General features: G+C 47.7%; 1 pseudogene; it reads right to left on the bottom strand.

Moving 5' to 3' along the window:
- On the bottom strand, positions 10,908-12,070 carry ZFP91P1 (ZFP91 pseudogene 1; annotated as a pseudogene).

Here is a 12,901-nt window from a genome sequence, read left to right on the forward strand (position 1 = left end):
AGAATATAGGCTGTGGGAGATCTGGAAGCTTGTCATCTTGTTCTCCTCTTTTGTAGGCTAATCAAGTGAAGCAATGGGAATGGAGAAGGAACAAAGAAATCTGTAAGTGGTTATAATCAATCAACCAGTTGTAAACACCACTGCACTTGGCCCAGCCTTGTTCTCCATTTTTGTCCCAGTCTATATGGTGGGTACGCAATAAACTATGTTTAATTCATGAAATATCAAATAATGAGAAGGTTATAAGAGCACTAGATCATAAGAGCAGGAAGGCCGGTCTTAGAGTGTTTTTTAAAATGCCCCAAGGGTTGCAAGTGCTGTTTCAATCAGATACAGGAAACACTTAACAGTGGCTAACCACAAACACCTGGGCTCAATGACGGTGGGCCCTACTCCTCCTCTATTTCCAATGCAAATGAAGCTGGAAGTTACAAGGCCTCTGTGCCTTTGTGAGAAAGAGTGAGAGATTCAGCCAGGGAGTTCCCCGGCGGCTATAAAAGTTATAAAAGTATTGAAATATTTCCATAACTAACCTCTGACCACCCCATCTCAGGATCTCACATCCAGCAATTGGAGGGCTAATGCCTGACCTTACTAAGGCCAGCAGCCCCTAGGTTGTTAAATATTTTGAAAACCACCTCTGTTTTCTGAGAATTTGTTTACTGGCAGAAGCAAGTTTCGGAAAAGGTCAGTTTGAACTAGACCCTGAAGAACTCAAGTTTTGCCAACAGCTGCTCCATAGGATTTATTTATTTTTTATTTTATTTATTTATTTTTGAGATGGAGTCTCACTCTGTCACCCAGGCTGGAGTACAGTGGCGCAATCTCAGCTCACTGCAACTTCCACCTCAGCCTCCAGAGTAGCTGGGATTACAGGCCCATGCCACCATGCCCAGCTAAGTTTTATATTTTTAGTAGACATGGAGTTTCACCATGTTGGCCAGGCTGGTCTCGAACTCCTGGCCTCATATGATCCACCCACCTTGGCCTTCCAAAGTGCTAGGAATACAGGTGTGAGCCACCGTGCCCAACCGTAGGATCTTATATAGGTTGGCATAGGTTGGCAACCTATTATTTACACTAGCTCCCTTTTTTTTTGTTTTTTTTTTTGTTTTTTTGTTTTGTTTTGTTTTGTTTTTTAGATGAAGCCTTCTTATGTTGCCCAGGCTGAGGCTGGAGGGCAGAGATGTAAGGAAAAAGGATGTGCTGTGATCAAGAATAGGCCGAGGCAGACATCCAGTCCAGGATGACTCAGTGAGTTTGGAGCACAGGCGCACAACTCCGCTCATTATGTAACCACGCCACGTGAGGCGCATTATGTGATCACCCACATGGGCTCGTGCTTGGCTTGGAGCCACTATTGTCTCTAAAAGGTATAACTACCCTGCTGACACTGTACCTATGGCTCACGCCCAGGCTCGCTCACACTTGAAGGGTAAAGCCATGTCAAACTGCTTCCTTGAGTGTTTTTCCAGCTACTCACCACCTCACCGACTCCCTTAGGACCTCAGTTTGGGCTAAAACCTGACAATTGGCATCACAAACAGGATCCTGGGATAAGTGACCCTTTGGTCTCTGCTGATTTTGGGTCTGCCATGTGGCTGCAACATGGGTTGTGGTACCCGGTGGCAGCTGTGCTGCTCCGATGGGCTCCGGTAGTAAACTGAGCAGCAGTGGATGGGTCCCCCGCCAGCATGGAGAAGGCACTGGGGCAGCTGGAAGCATGGAGCACTGAGAAAGAGCAAGCTCTTGCCGGCAGAGTTGGTGGGCATTTTTACTGCGCTAGGAGAAGTACACACCCAGTCCCTGAGGGATGCAGTGCAGGTGAGGGCCCTCCAGGTACAGGCAGGGCGCCTGGAGGCCCAGCTACACGGCTCAGAAAATGAGTTAGAAGCTTCTGTGAATGCAGGCCTGGGTCCATCGTCTTGGCCAGAGACCCCCACTTGGTGTGATACTGAGGGGGAAGAACCCCCGTTGTGGAGTGGCCCAGTGGTCCATCAGAAGGCTGTCAGCAGGACCCAGGGGTCCATGCCGTAAAGAAGGGGAAGATGCCCCACGCACAAGGGGCCTCCCCATGGGAGAAAGGGGGACCCAAAGAGTGACATGTTCACAGGTGTGGGTGGATTTGATTTTGGCCAGTGTTGACTGAGAAAACAATCTATAAGCAGCCCTATGAAGTACTCCTAACTTTGTGAGAACAGTTGTCTCCGGAGCAGCAATTCCAGAAAATGCCCAAGCGGGAGAAGGACATTGATATGCAACCCAGTCCCACCCAGGCACTTCAGCTCAAAGACTACATGCTGCAGCCAGGCAGTGGTATAGATTCTTTTCTGTTTAATTTGTACAGCAGGTGCTTGCGCTGGTAGGTACCAGTGCAGGTTGTACCCTTTTCTATGGGAACCTGGATAAGTTTCCAGGCAAGGCTTCATAGACAGCTATGAAAACTGATCAATGAAAGTGAAACCTGTATCTTTGCACCTTGGCATTGGCCACTTATGTAAATACATTCTAGGTGTGGATATTTTACATGGCTTGGCAGCTGTGCTGTCTATCACAAACTTGATGGACTGCCTGACAACAGAATTGGGACAGTAGCACTATGTGGTGGACTTGGCTAATCCATTCTTTTCCAGAGAGCCAAGAACAGTTTGACTTCATGGGACGGTGACAATGAAATTTCAGTGTTGCTCAGGGCTATATGCATAGCCCCACCATATGTCATGGTCTCATTGACAATATTATGTTAACCTCTGATTCTCTTGCAGATTTAGAAGCATCAATGCCCCTCTTGCCTGAGATTGGTATGGTGTGGCTGAGACCGCCTTCCTAGCAGCCAAGCAGGCTATTTAGCAGGCACAAGCTCTACGGGTAGTTGACCAGGGGCACCCATTTGAGCTGGATGTGCATGTGACCACAGATGGTTTCGGTTGGAGCCTGTGGCAGCACATGGAGCGCTTGAGAATGCCAGGAGGCTTTTGGTCCCACTATGGAAGGGAGCTGAGCTCCAGTATTCTTTGATAGAGAAACAGCTAGCAGCTGTATATGTCGTTCTTCAGGCTTATGAAAGCATGCAGGACGGGCTACAGTCATCATGCAGATGATTTACTCAACAGTGGGATGGATACGTTCATGGGTAACAACTCGTGGAATGGGACAGTGCAGACATCCACTTTGGCAAAGGGGGGCGCCTACTTAGAGCAGCGGAATACGCTGGGTACAAGTCCCTTAGCGGCAGAGTTGCAAGAGGTCTTGGGACCTGTAGTCCTAATGCAAGATAAGGCCGTGGGGCCTGTGGCACCCCCAGACCCTGGGCCTTCACCATTTAAGGAAGGGTGTCCCCCCATTCCTGATGATGCATGGTATACAGATGGGTCTAGCTGGGGTGCTACTGCTCCCTGGGTTGCTGTCACAGTCCACCCTAGTACTGACACCATATGGTTTGATACCAGGTGTGGACAAAGTAGCCAATGGGCTGAACTCAAAGCCGTGTGGATGGTGAACACCAAAGAGGTGACACCTATGGTAATCTGCACCAATAGCTGGGCAGTTTATTGAGGCTTAACCTTGTGGTTAACCACCTAGAAGTTACAGAAGTGGCCAGTTGGTCACCGGCCCATGTAAGGCCAAGCCATGTGGCAAGACCTACAGGAGGAAAGATGACCTCCTCTGACTAGGTATGGGGAAGGCCATACCTGGGAGGCCAAAGCAGGAGGATTGCTTGGGCCCAGGAGTTTGAGACCAGTCTGGGCAAAAAAGTGAGACCCCCATTTCTACAACAAAATATAAAAACTTGGCTGGGTGCAGTGGCTCACGCCTGTAATCCCAGCACTTTAGGAGTGCTGAGATTTGGGAGTGCAGCACTTTGGAGTGCCGACTGAGGTGGGCGGATCACCTGAGGTCAGGAGTTCAAGACCAGCCTGGCCAACATGGTGAAACCTCACCTATACTAAAAATACAAAAATTAGAGAATTGCTTGAACCTTGGAGGCAGAGGTTGTGGTGAGCCAAGATTATGCCACTACACACCAGCCTGGGCAACAGAGTGAGACTCTATCTCAAAAAATAAAAGTAAAAATGAATAAATAGTAACTTATCATGGTTGCACAACTCTGTCAATATGCTACAGATCATTAGTGTACCTTAAATGAATGAACTTTGTGGTATGTAAATTATATTTCAACAAAACTGTTTATTTTATTTATTTATTTTTGAGATAGAGTCTCACTCTGTTGCCCAGGCTGGAGTGCATTGGCACAATCTCGGCTCACTGCAGCCTCCACCTCGCAGGTTCAAGCGAGTCTCCCACCTCAGCCTCTCATGTAGCTAGGATTACAGGTGCCCACCACCACACTCCACTAATTTTTGCATTTTTAGTAGAGTATTGCACTATGTTGCCCAGGCTGGTCTCGAACTCCTGACTTCAGGTAATCCACCTGCCTCAGCCTCCCAAAGTGCTGAGATTACAGGTGTGAGCCACTGTGTCCTATCAAAGCTGTTTAAAAAATAAAAATAAAGGCCAGGCGCAGTGGCTTACACCTGTAATCCCAGCACTATGGGAGGCTGAGATGGGCAGATCACAAGGTCAAGAGTTCGAGACCAGCCTGGCCAAGATAGTGAAACCCTGTCTCTGCTAAAAATACAAAAAAAAAAAAAAATTAGCCGGGCATGGTGGCACACGCCTGTAATCCCAACTACTCAGGAAGCTGAGGCAGGAGAATGACTTGAACCCGGGAGGCGGAGGTTGTGGTGAGTTGAGATCGCACCACTGCACTCCAGCCTGGGCGACAGAGGCAGACTCTGTCTCAAAAAAAATAAAAAAATTTTAAAAAATACAAATAAAAACCCTCAGTGGATACATTAAAGAGGAGATTAGTCATAGCTGAATAAAGACTTAGTGGTTTAAAAGATAGATTCAGGGAAATCACTCAAAATACAGCACCAAGAGATTTTTAAAAATACAAAATATGTAAGAAAGGCTGAGATATACAGAGAATAAGAAAGTTAAATACAGTATAGATAGAATAAAAGTCAAGAAGGAAAGAAGAGGGAGGCTAGGCGTAGTGGCTCATGCCTGAAACCCCAGAACTTTTGGAGGCTGAGGCAGGCAGATCACCTGAGGTCAGGAGTTTGAGACCAGCCTTGCCAACATGGTGAAACCCCACCTCTACTAAAAATGCAAAACGTAGCCGGCCATGGCGGTGCCCACCTGTGATCCCAGCTACTCAGGAGGCTGAGGCAGGAGAATAGCTTGAACCCAGGAGGCAGGGGTTGCAGTGAGCCCAGATCACGCCACTGCACTGCAGCCTGGGCAACAGAGAGAGACTTCGTCTCAAAGAAAAAAAAAAAAGTAGAGAAGAGTGAGAATGAAAAAATTGCTGCGGTTAATATGACAATGCTAAGAACTGTCCTAAAGTATAAGCCATGAATCCACAGATGGAAGAAGCACAGTAACACTCAAATAGGATAAACAAAAATAAAGCCATACTCAGACATCTTGTGGTGAGGTTGTAAAACACAAAAAACAAGGACAAAACCATAAAAGCAACCAGGAACAACAGATTATCTATGAATGAATAATATTGAGACTGTCAGATTTCTTTTTCTTTCTTTTTTTTTTTTTTTGAGAAGTAATCTCACTCTGTCACCCAGGCTGGAGTGCAGTGGCAGGATCTCGGCTCACTGCGACCTCCACCTCCTGGGTTCAAGCGATTCTCCTGCCTCAGCCTCCCAAGTAGCTAGAATTACAGGCATCCACCACCATGCCCAGCTAATTTTTGTATTTTCAGTAGAGATGGAGTTTCACCATGTTAGTCAGGCTGGTCTCCAACTCCTGACCTCGTGATCCGCCCACCTTGGCCTCCCAAAGTGCTGGGATTACAGGTGTGAGCCACCACACCCGGCCCTAGACTGTGAGATTTCTTATCAGCAACAATAGAGGTCAAAAGACAATGGTGGCCGGGAGCTGAGGCTCATACCTAGAATCCCAAGACTTTGGGAGGCTGAGGCGGGTGGATCACCTGAGGTCAGGAGTTCGAGACCAGCCCAGGCAAGATGGCAAAACCCCATTTCTACACAAAAAAATACAAAAAAATTAGCCAGGTATGGTTGTGTGCACCTGTGGTCCCAGCTACTCAGGAGGCTGAGGCAGGAGGATCGCCTTAGCCCCAGGGGCAGAGGTTGCAATGAGCCGAGATCTTGCCACTGCACTCCAGCCTGGACAACAGAGTAAGACCCTGTCTCAAAAAAAAAAAAAAAATGAGTGTTAAAAATTTAACAATAGCTGGTAAAAAAAAATATATAGAAGGCATAAAACTTCCAAAATGGTACAAGAAAGAAAATGGTGGCCAGGCGCAGTGGCTCACGCCTGTAATCCCAGCACTTTGGGAAGCCGAGGTGGGCAGATCACCTGAGGTCAGGAGTTCGAGACCAGCATGGCCAACATGGTGAAACCTTGTCTCTACTAAAAGTACAAAAATTAGCTGGGCATGGTGGTGGGCACCTGTAATCCCAGCTACTCGGGAGGCTGAGGCAGGACAATCGCTTGAACCTGGGAGGCAGAGGTTGCAATGAGCAGAGATCCTGCCACTGCACTCTAGCCTGGGTGACAGAGACAGACTCTGTCTCAAAGAAAAAAAGAAAATGACAAGGGAATAAATAACACTCTACTGGAAATTGGAAAAGGAAAACAGTTAACAGAGGAAACCATGGAAACAGCACATTTTCTTTATATATATATATGTATCTTGCCACACTGAGGCTGTAGACTCTGAGAGCTGGCATCCTGTCTTGTTATATCCCCATGTGTATACAACAGCACCTGACACAAAGAAGTTGCTCATTAGCCCAGTGCAGTGGCTCATGCCTGTTATCCCAGCACTTTGGGAGGCTGAGGCGGGAAGATCACTTGAGCCAAGGAGTTTGAGACCAGTCTGGGTAACATAGGGAAACTCTGTCTTTACAAAAAAAACAAAACCAAAAAATAGCAGGCATGGTGGCACGTGCCTGTAGTCACAGCTACCTGGGAAGCTGAGGTGGGAAGATCACCTGAGCCCAAGAGTTCGAGGCTGCAGCGAGCAACAATCACACACTACACTCCAGCCTGAGCTGGAGACAGTGGAGTCAAAAAAAATTTTGTCCCCCCAAATTCTGGTATCTAAACATGTATGTCACTTTCTATATATTACTGAGTTCTATTTTTCTCTATAACGTAACTTTCAAGATCCTGTCTCAAAAAAAATAAAAAAAAATCCCATTCCAGCAGATACAGCTTAAAAAAAAAAGAATATAAATAAAAATTGAGGTCATGCCTGGCACAGAGGCTCACACCTGTAATCCCAGCATTTTGGGAGGCCGAGGTGGGCGAATCACTTGAGATCAGGAGTTCGAGACCAGCCAGGCCAACATGGTGAAACCCTGTATCTACCAAAAATGCAAAAAAATTAGCCAGGCTTGGTGGCTCGCACCTGTAATCCCAGCTAATCGGGATGCTGAGGCAGGAGAATCACTTGAACGCGGAAGGCGGAGTTTGTAGTGAGCCAAGATCGTGCCACTGCACTCCACCCCAAACCCCGTCTCAAAAAAAAAAAAAAAAAAAGCCGGCCGTGATGGCTCACGCTCATAATCTCAGCACTTTGGGAGGCCGAGTAGAACAGACCATTTGAGCCCCAGAGTTCAAGACCAGCCTGCGCAACATGGTGAAACCCCATCTCTACTAAAAATACAAAAATTAGCCGGGCATGGTGGCGGGCGCCTGTGGTCTCAGCTACTTGGGAGGCTGAGGCAGGAGAATCGCTTGAACCCCGGAGTCGGAGGTTGCAGTGAGCCCAGATCGTGCCACTGCACTCCAGCCTGGTGACAGAGCAAGACTCCATCTCAAAAAAAAAAAAAAAAGGTCTTTTTTTTTTGAGACAGGGTCTTGCTCTGTCACCCAGGCTGCAATGTGGAATGCAGTGGTGCAATCATAGCCCACTGCAGCTCTGACTTTCTGGGCTCAAGAAATCCTCCCACCTCAGCCTCCCAAGTAGCTGGGACCAAAAGCATGCACCACTATGCCTGGCTAAGTTTTCTTTGTGTGTGTGTGTGTGTGTGTGTGTGTGTGTGTGTGTGTGTGTGTGTGTGTGTGTGTGTGTGTGTAGAGATGGGGTCTTACTATGTTGCTCAGGCTGGCCTTGAACTCCTGGCCACAAGCAATCCTCTGGCCTTGGCCTCCTGAAGTGCTGGGATTACAGGCATAAGTGACTGTACCCAGCCAAGGTCTTGATGTACACATCTTTCTTTCTTTCTTTCTTTTTTTTTTTTTAAGACGGAGTTTTGCGCTGTTGCCCGGGCTGAAGTGCAATGGCGTGATCTCGGCTCACTGCAACCTCTGCCTTCCTGCCTCAGCCTCTCGAGTAGCTGGGATTACAGGCATGGCCACCACACAGGGCTAATTTTTTGTATTTTTAGTACAGACAGGGTTTCACTATGTTGGCCAAGCTGATCTCGAACTCCTGACATCGTGATCCTCCCACCTCGGCCTCCCAAAGTGCTGGATTATAGGCGTGAGCCACTGCACCCAGCCCACATCTTTTTGTTGTTGTTGTTGGAGATGGAGTCTCGCTCTGTTGCCCAGGCTGGAGTACAATGGCACAATCTCAGCTCACTGCAACCTCCACCTCCCAGGTTCAAGCAATTCTCCTGCCTCAGCCTTCCAAGTAGCTGGGATTACAGTTGCCCACCACCACGCTTGGCTAAGTTTTGTATTTTTAGTAGAGACCAGGTTTTGCCATGTTGGCCAGGCTGGTCTTGAACTCCTGACCTCAGGTGATCCGCCCGCCTCGGACTCCCAAAGTGCTGGGATTACAGGTGTGAGCCACCCCACCGCGCCCAGCCACAAATAAATATCCTCACCCTTGTCTGTGTTCTCTGCTATACATCTTATCAAATCTTTAGACAGTCTATTGACTTCCTAAAAAGTTAATGATTTTGGTTGTGTGCAATGGCTCATGCCTGTAATCCCAGTACTTTGGGAGACTGAAATGGGTGGTTTCCCAGGAGTTCAAGACCAGCCTGGACAACAGAGTGAGACCATCTCCAAAAAAAAGTGACTTTTAAGTTTTAAATTTTTACATGATCAAGTCTTTCCATCGTTTATTTCTTCTGTCATTGCTGAGTTTAAAAAGTATTGGTTTTCAAATATCTCATAACTTCCAGTTCCCTTTGAATATGAGGATGTGTTAAACTCTGTATTAATAAGGAGAATACATTTGGGACATGCATGGTCTCAGGGTGTTTATATGACTTGGGAAACAGAAGTTGGTCTGAATTTACAAAGACATCAGTCTGTGAATCTGGAAGTATTCCTGTGCAGGGCCCATATTAGTAGCATTACAAAATATAGATATTGGAAACCTAAAAGGTGAACATGTTGGGTTTGTTTCCTTCTTCTGTCTTCCTTTCCTTCTTTTTGCTTTTTAATCAGACGGGGTCTTGCTATGCTTCCCAGGCTGGTCTCTAACTCCTGGGCTCAAGCAATACTCCTGCTTTCGCCTCTGAAAGTGCTGGAATTACAGGCATGAGCCATGGTGCCCAGACTGAAATTCAACAGACAGGTTATATGCCCACTGAAAAGGCAAAATTAATTAGAAAAGAGGTTATTGGCTGGGTGCAGTGGCTCATACCAGCACTTTGGGAGGCTGAGGTGGCCGTATCACTTGAGACCAGGAGTTCAAGCCCAACCTGGCCAACATGGTGAAACCCCGTCTCTACCAAAAATATAAAAATTGGCTAGGCGTGGTGGTGCGTGGCTGTAATCCTTGTTACTCCGGGTGCTGAGGCAGGAGAATGGCTTGAACCCGGGAGGTGAGACTCCATCTCAAAACAAACAAACAAACAAAAGGTTATCATCAAAAGATTAATCTTTTCACTATTCCCCAATGTTTCCTTAAAACAGTTTTCATAATTTTGTTTGACAGCATTAGTGATAAAGAGGCAGACTTTATTTATTTATTTATTTTGAGACAGAGTCTTGCTCTGTCACCCAGGCTGGAGTGCAGCAGTGCCATCTCAGTTCACTGCAACCTCCGCCTCCCGGGTTCAAGCAATTCTCTGCCTCAGCCTCCCGAGTAGCTGAGATTACAGGCACCCGCCATCACACCCAACTAATTTTTGTATTTTTAGTAGAGACGAGGTTTCACCATCTTGGCCAGTCTGGTCTTGAACTCCTGACCTTGTTATCCGCCCACCTCAGCCTCCCAAAGTGTTGGGATTACAGGTGTGAGCCACCGCGCCTGGACTAAGAGGCAGACTTTAATTTTTGCTTTATTTATTTATTTATTTATTTATTTGAGACGGAGTCTCGCTCTGTGGCCCAGGCTGGAGTGCAGTGGCGCCATCTCGGCTCACTGCAAGCTCCACCTCCTGGGTTCATGCCATTCTCCTGCCTCAGCCTCCCGAGTAGCTGGGACTACAGGCGCCCGCCACCACACTCAGCTAATTTTTTGTATTTTTAGTAGAGATGGGGTTTCACCATGTTAGCCAGGATGGTCTTCATCTCCTGACCTCGTGATCCATCCACCTCGGCCTCCCAGAGTGCTGGGATTACAGGCGTGAGCCACCGCGTGTGCCCGGCCTTAATTATTTATCTTTTTGAGACAGAGTCTCACTCTTGTCGCCCAGGCTGGAGTGCAGTGGCATGATCCCGGCTCACTGCAACCTCTGCCTCATGGGTTCAAGCAATTCTCCCACCTCAGTCTCCCGGGTAGCTGGGACTACAGGTATGGACCACCACGCCCAGCTAATTTTTGTATTTTTAGTAGAGATGGGGTTTCACCATGTTGGCCAGGGTGGTCTCGAACTTCTGACCTCAGGCGATCCACCCGCCTTGACCTCCCAAAGTGCTGGGATTACAGGTATGGGCCACCGCGCCCGGCCTCATGCTTCTTTATGTGCCAATTAAGAGACGCCTTTTGCCGATAAGTAAATTTACAGATCTCACATTGTAATAACGGCTTCTCGCCAATGTGAACAATCTGGTGCACTACCAGATTGTGGGAACTCTTGAAGGCCTGAGCACAGTATTCACAGACAGAATCCCTTTGATCTGTATGATGTTTGGCATGTCATAGAAGTTGCTTCTGGAGCCTACAGAGTAGTCCACAGGAGGGATGCAGACATACGTATTTTTTCTTCAACAAATGCTATTTAACGTGGTGCTGTCAATAGCCAGGATGGGCAAGGACAGTTCCACATCCTTCCATCTCACAACGGACATACTGGGTTGCAGGCTTTTTTCTCCTTCTGGGTAAATGTGGACTTCTGCCATCTTTCCATCTTCTTCCTCTCTTCCTCAGAGGTTCCTTATCCTCCCTAATTTCATTCTCCTCTTCTTTCACCTCTACCTCTACTTCCACTTTAATTTCCCTCCTCTCCTTCTCTCCTTTCACCTTCCCTGATTTTCGCGTGGCTTTGGGGTTTCCCTTTCTAAGAGGGGTTTGTAGGTCTCATCTCTTGGGTCAACTTTGAATAGCATCTCCTCTTCACTGATTAATCTCTTCTTCTTCCTCCTTGCTAATGCCACCTGGAGACTGATGCTCTTCTCCAACATCATAATCGAGTTGGTCTGTACTTGGTTCTGATTTGCAGATGAGCTGCAATGAACCAGTCTTGCACCGAGAGCTTCAGGTGTTCTCTGTATCACCATGAGGAGAAACACATGTCCTGCTCCTACTGCACCATCCCCAGCTAGGTCTGGATGCAGCAATGTAAACTTCCCGAGGGAGGGCAGAATCATCTTCCTCTTTTTCTTCTTTGCAATCTTTATCAGTTGTTGGCATAGGAGTCGTGGACTCTTCTTGCCCTGAACTGGAGGTAGGGATTTTGCAGCCTGGGGCTGCTGCCTGGGGACATCGGGAGGCCTGGCACGGGGGGCTGCTCCTCCCGCGCTGGGATACTCGGCCTTCCTCTGGTGGGATACAGCAGCCCTGCCTCGGTCCCGACCTCCCCTCAGCCCGCGGCTGCTAGTGGTCCCTGCAGGCGCCACCGCCGCCTCAGGCGGCCTTTGTTGGGGGGCTTGTCAGGAGCTGCCTTGGCCGAAGAGGCAGACTTCTAAAAACAGAATTTAGGGTACATCGAAATATAGGACTCAGTGAAAGTGACATGCATCTTTTGATCTCAGAATTTGGGGGATCGACGTTTGATTAATGTTCCTGTTATCACTGCTGCTCTTGTGGGCATTGTTCATCTTGCTGAAATTCTCTTTGATCTCAGTGCCCTGCAGGTCATTGTTGGTAGCTAAGAGCTGCACTGTCCAATACATTAGTCACTCACCATATGTGACTATGAGAATTTTAAACTTATGGTCGGGTGTGGTGGCTCACACCTATAATACCAGCACTTTGGGAGGCCAAGGCAGGCAGATCACCTGAGGTGAGGAGTTCAAGACCAGCCTGGCTAACATGGTGAAACCCTGTCTCTACTAAAAAAATACAAAAATCAGCTGGGCGTGGTAGCGGGTGCCTGTAATCCCAGCTACTCAGGAGGCTAAGGCAGGAGAATCGTTTGAACCTCGGAGGCGGAGGTTGCAGTGAGCTGGGATCGTGCCACTGCACTCCAGCCTGGTTGACAAAGGGAGACTGTCTCAAAAATAAATAAAATTTAAGCTTAAAATCCAGTTCCTAAGTCATTAGCCTACCATATGCAGAAGCTCCATGCAGCCAGTGGCTAGTACACTGGACAGTTCAGATATGGGATGTGCCCATCTCAAAGGAAGCTGTCTGACAGCTTTGCCTTGCGAATCTTTCAAAATTCCCAGTTGTCTCCTAGGCTGTTCCCCTCACCCCTATCTCACGGAGCTCTCTCCTCAAATTCTGTAATTTCAGGTATTCTTGTTTCTCCTTGTAGCTCCACACCGACGCTATTCAAAA

This window comes from Homo sapiens, chromosome 2, assembly GCF_000001405.40.
Source record: "Homo sapiens chromosome 2, GRCh38.p14 Primary Assembly".
In the NCBI taxonomy this organism is placed as follows: domain Eukaryota; kingdom Metazoa; phylum Chordata; class Mammalia; order Primates; family Hominidae; genus Homo; species Homo sapiens.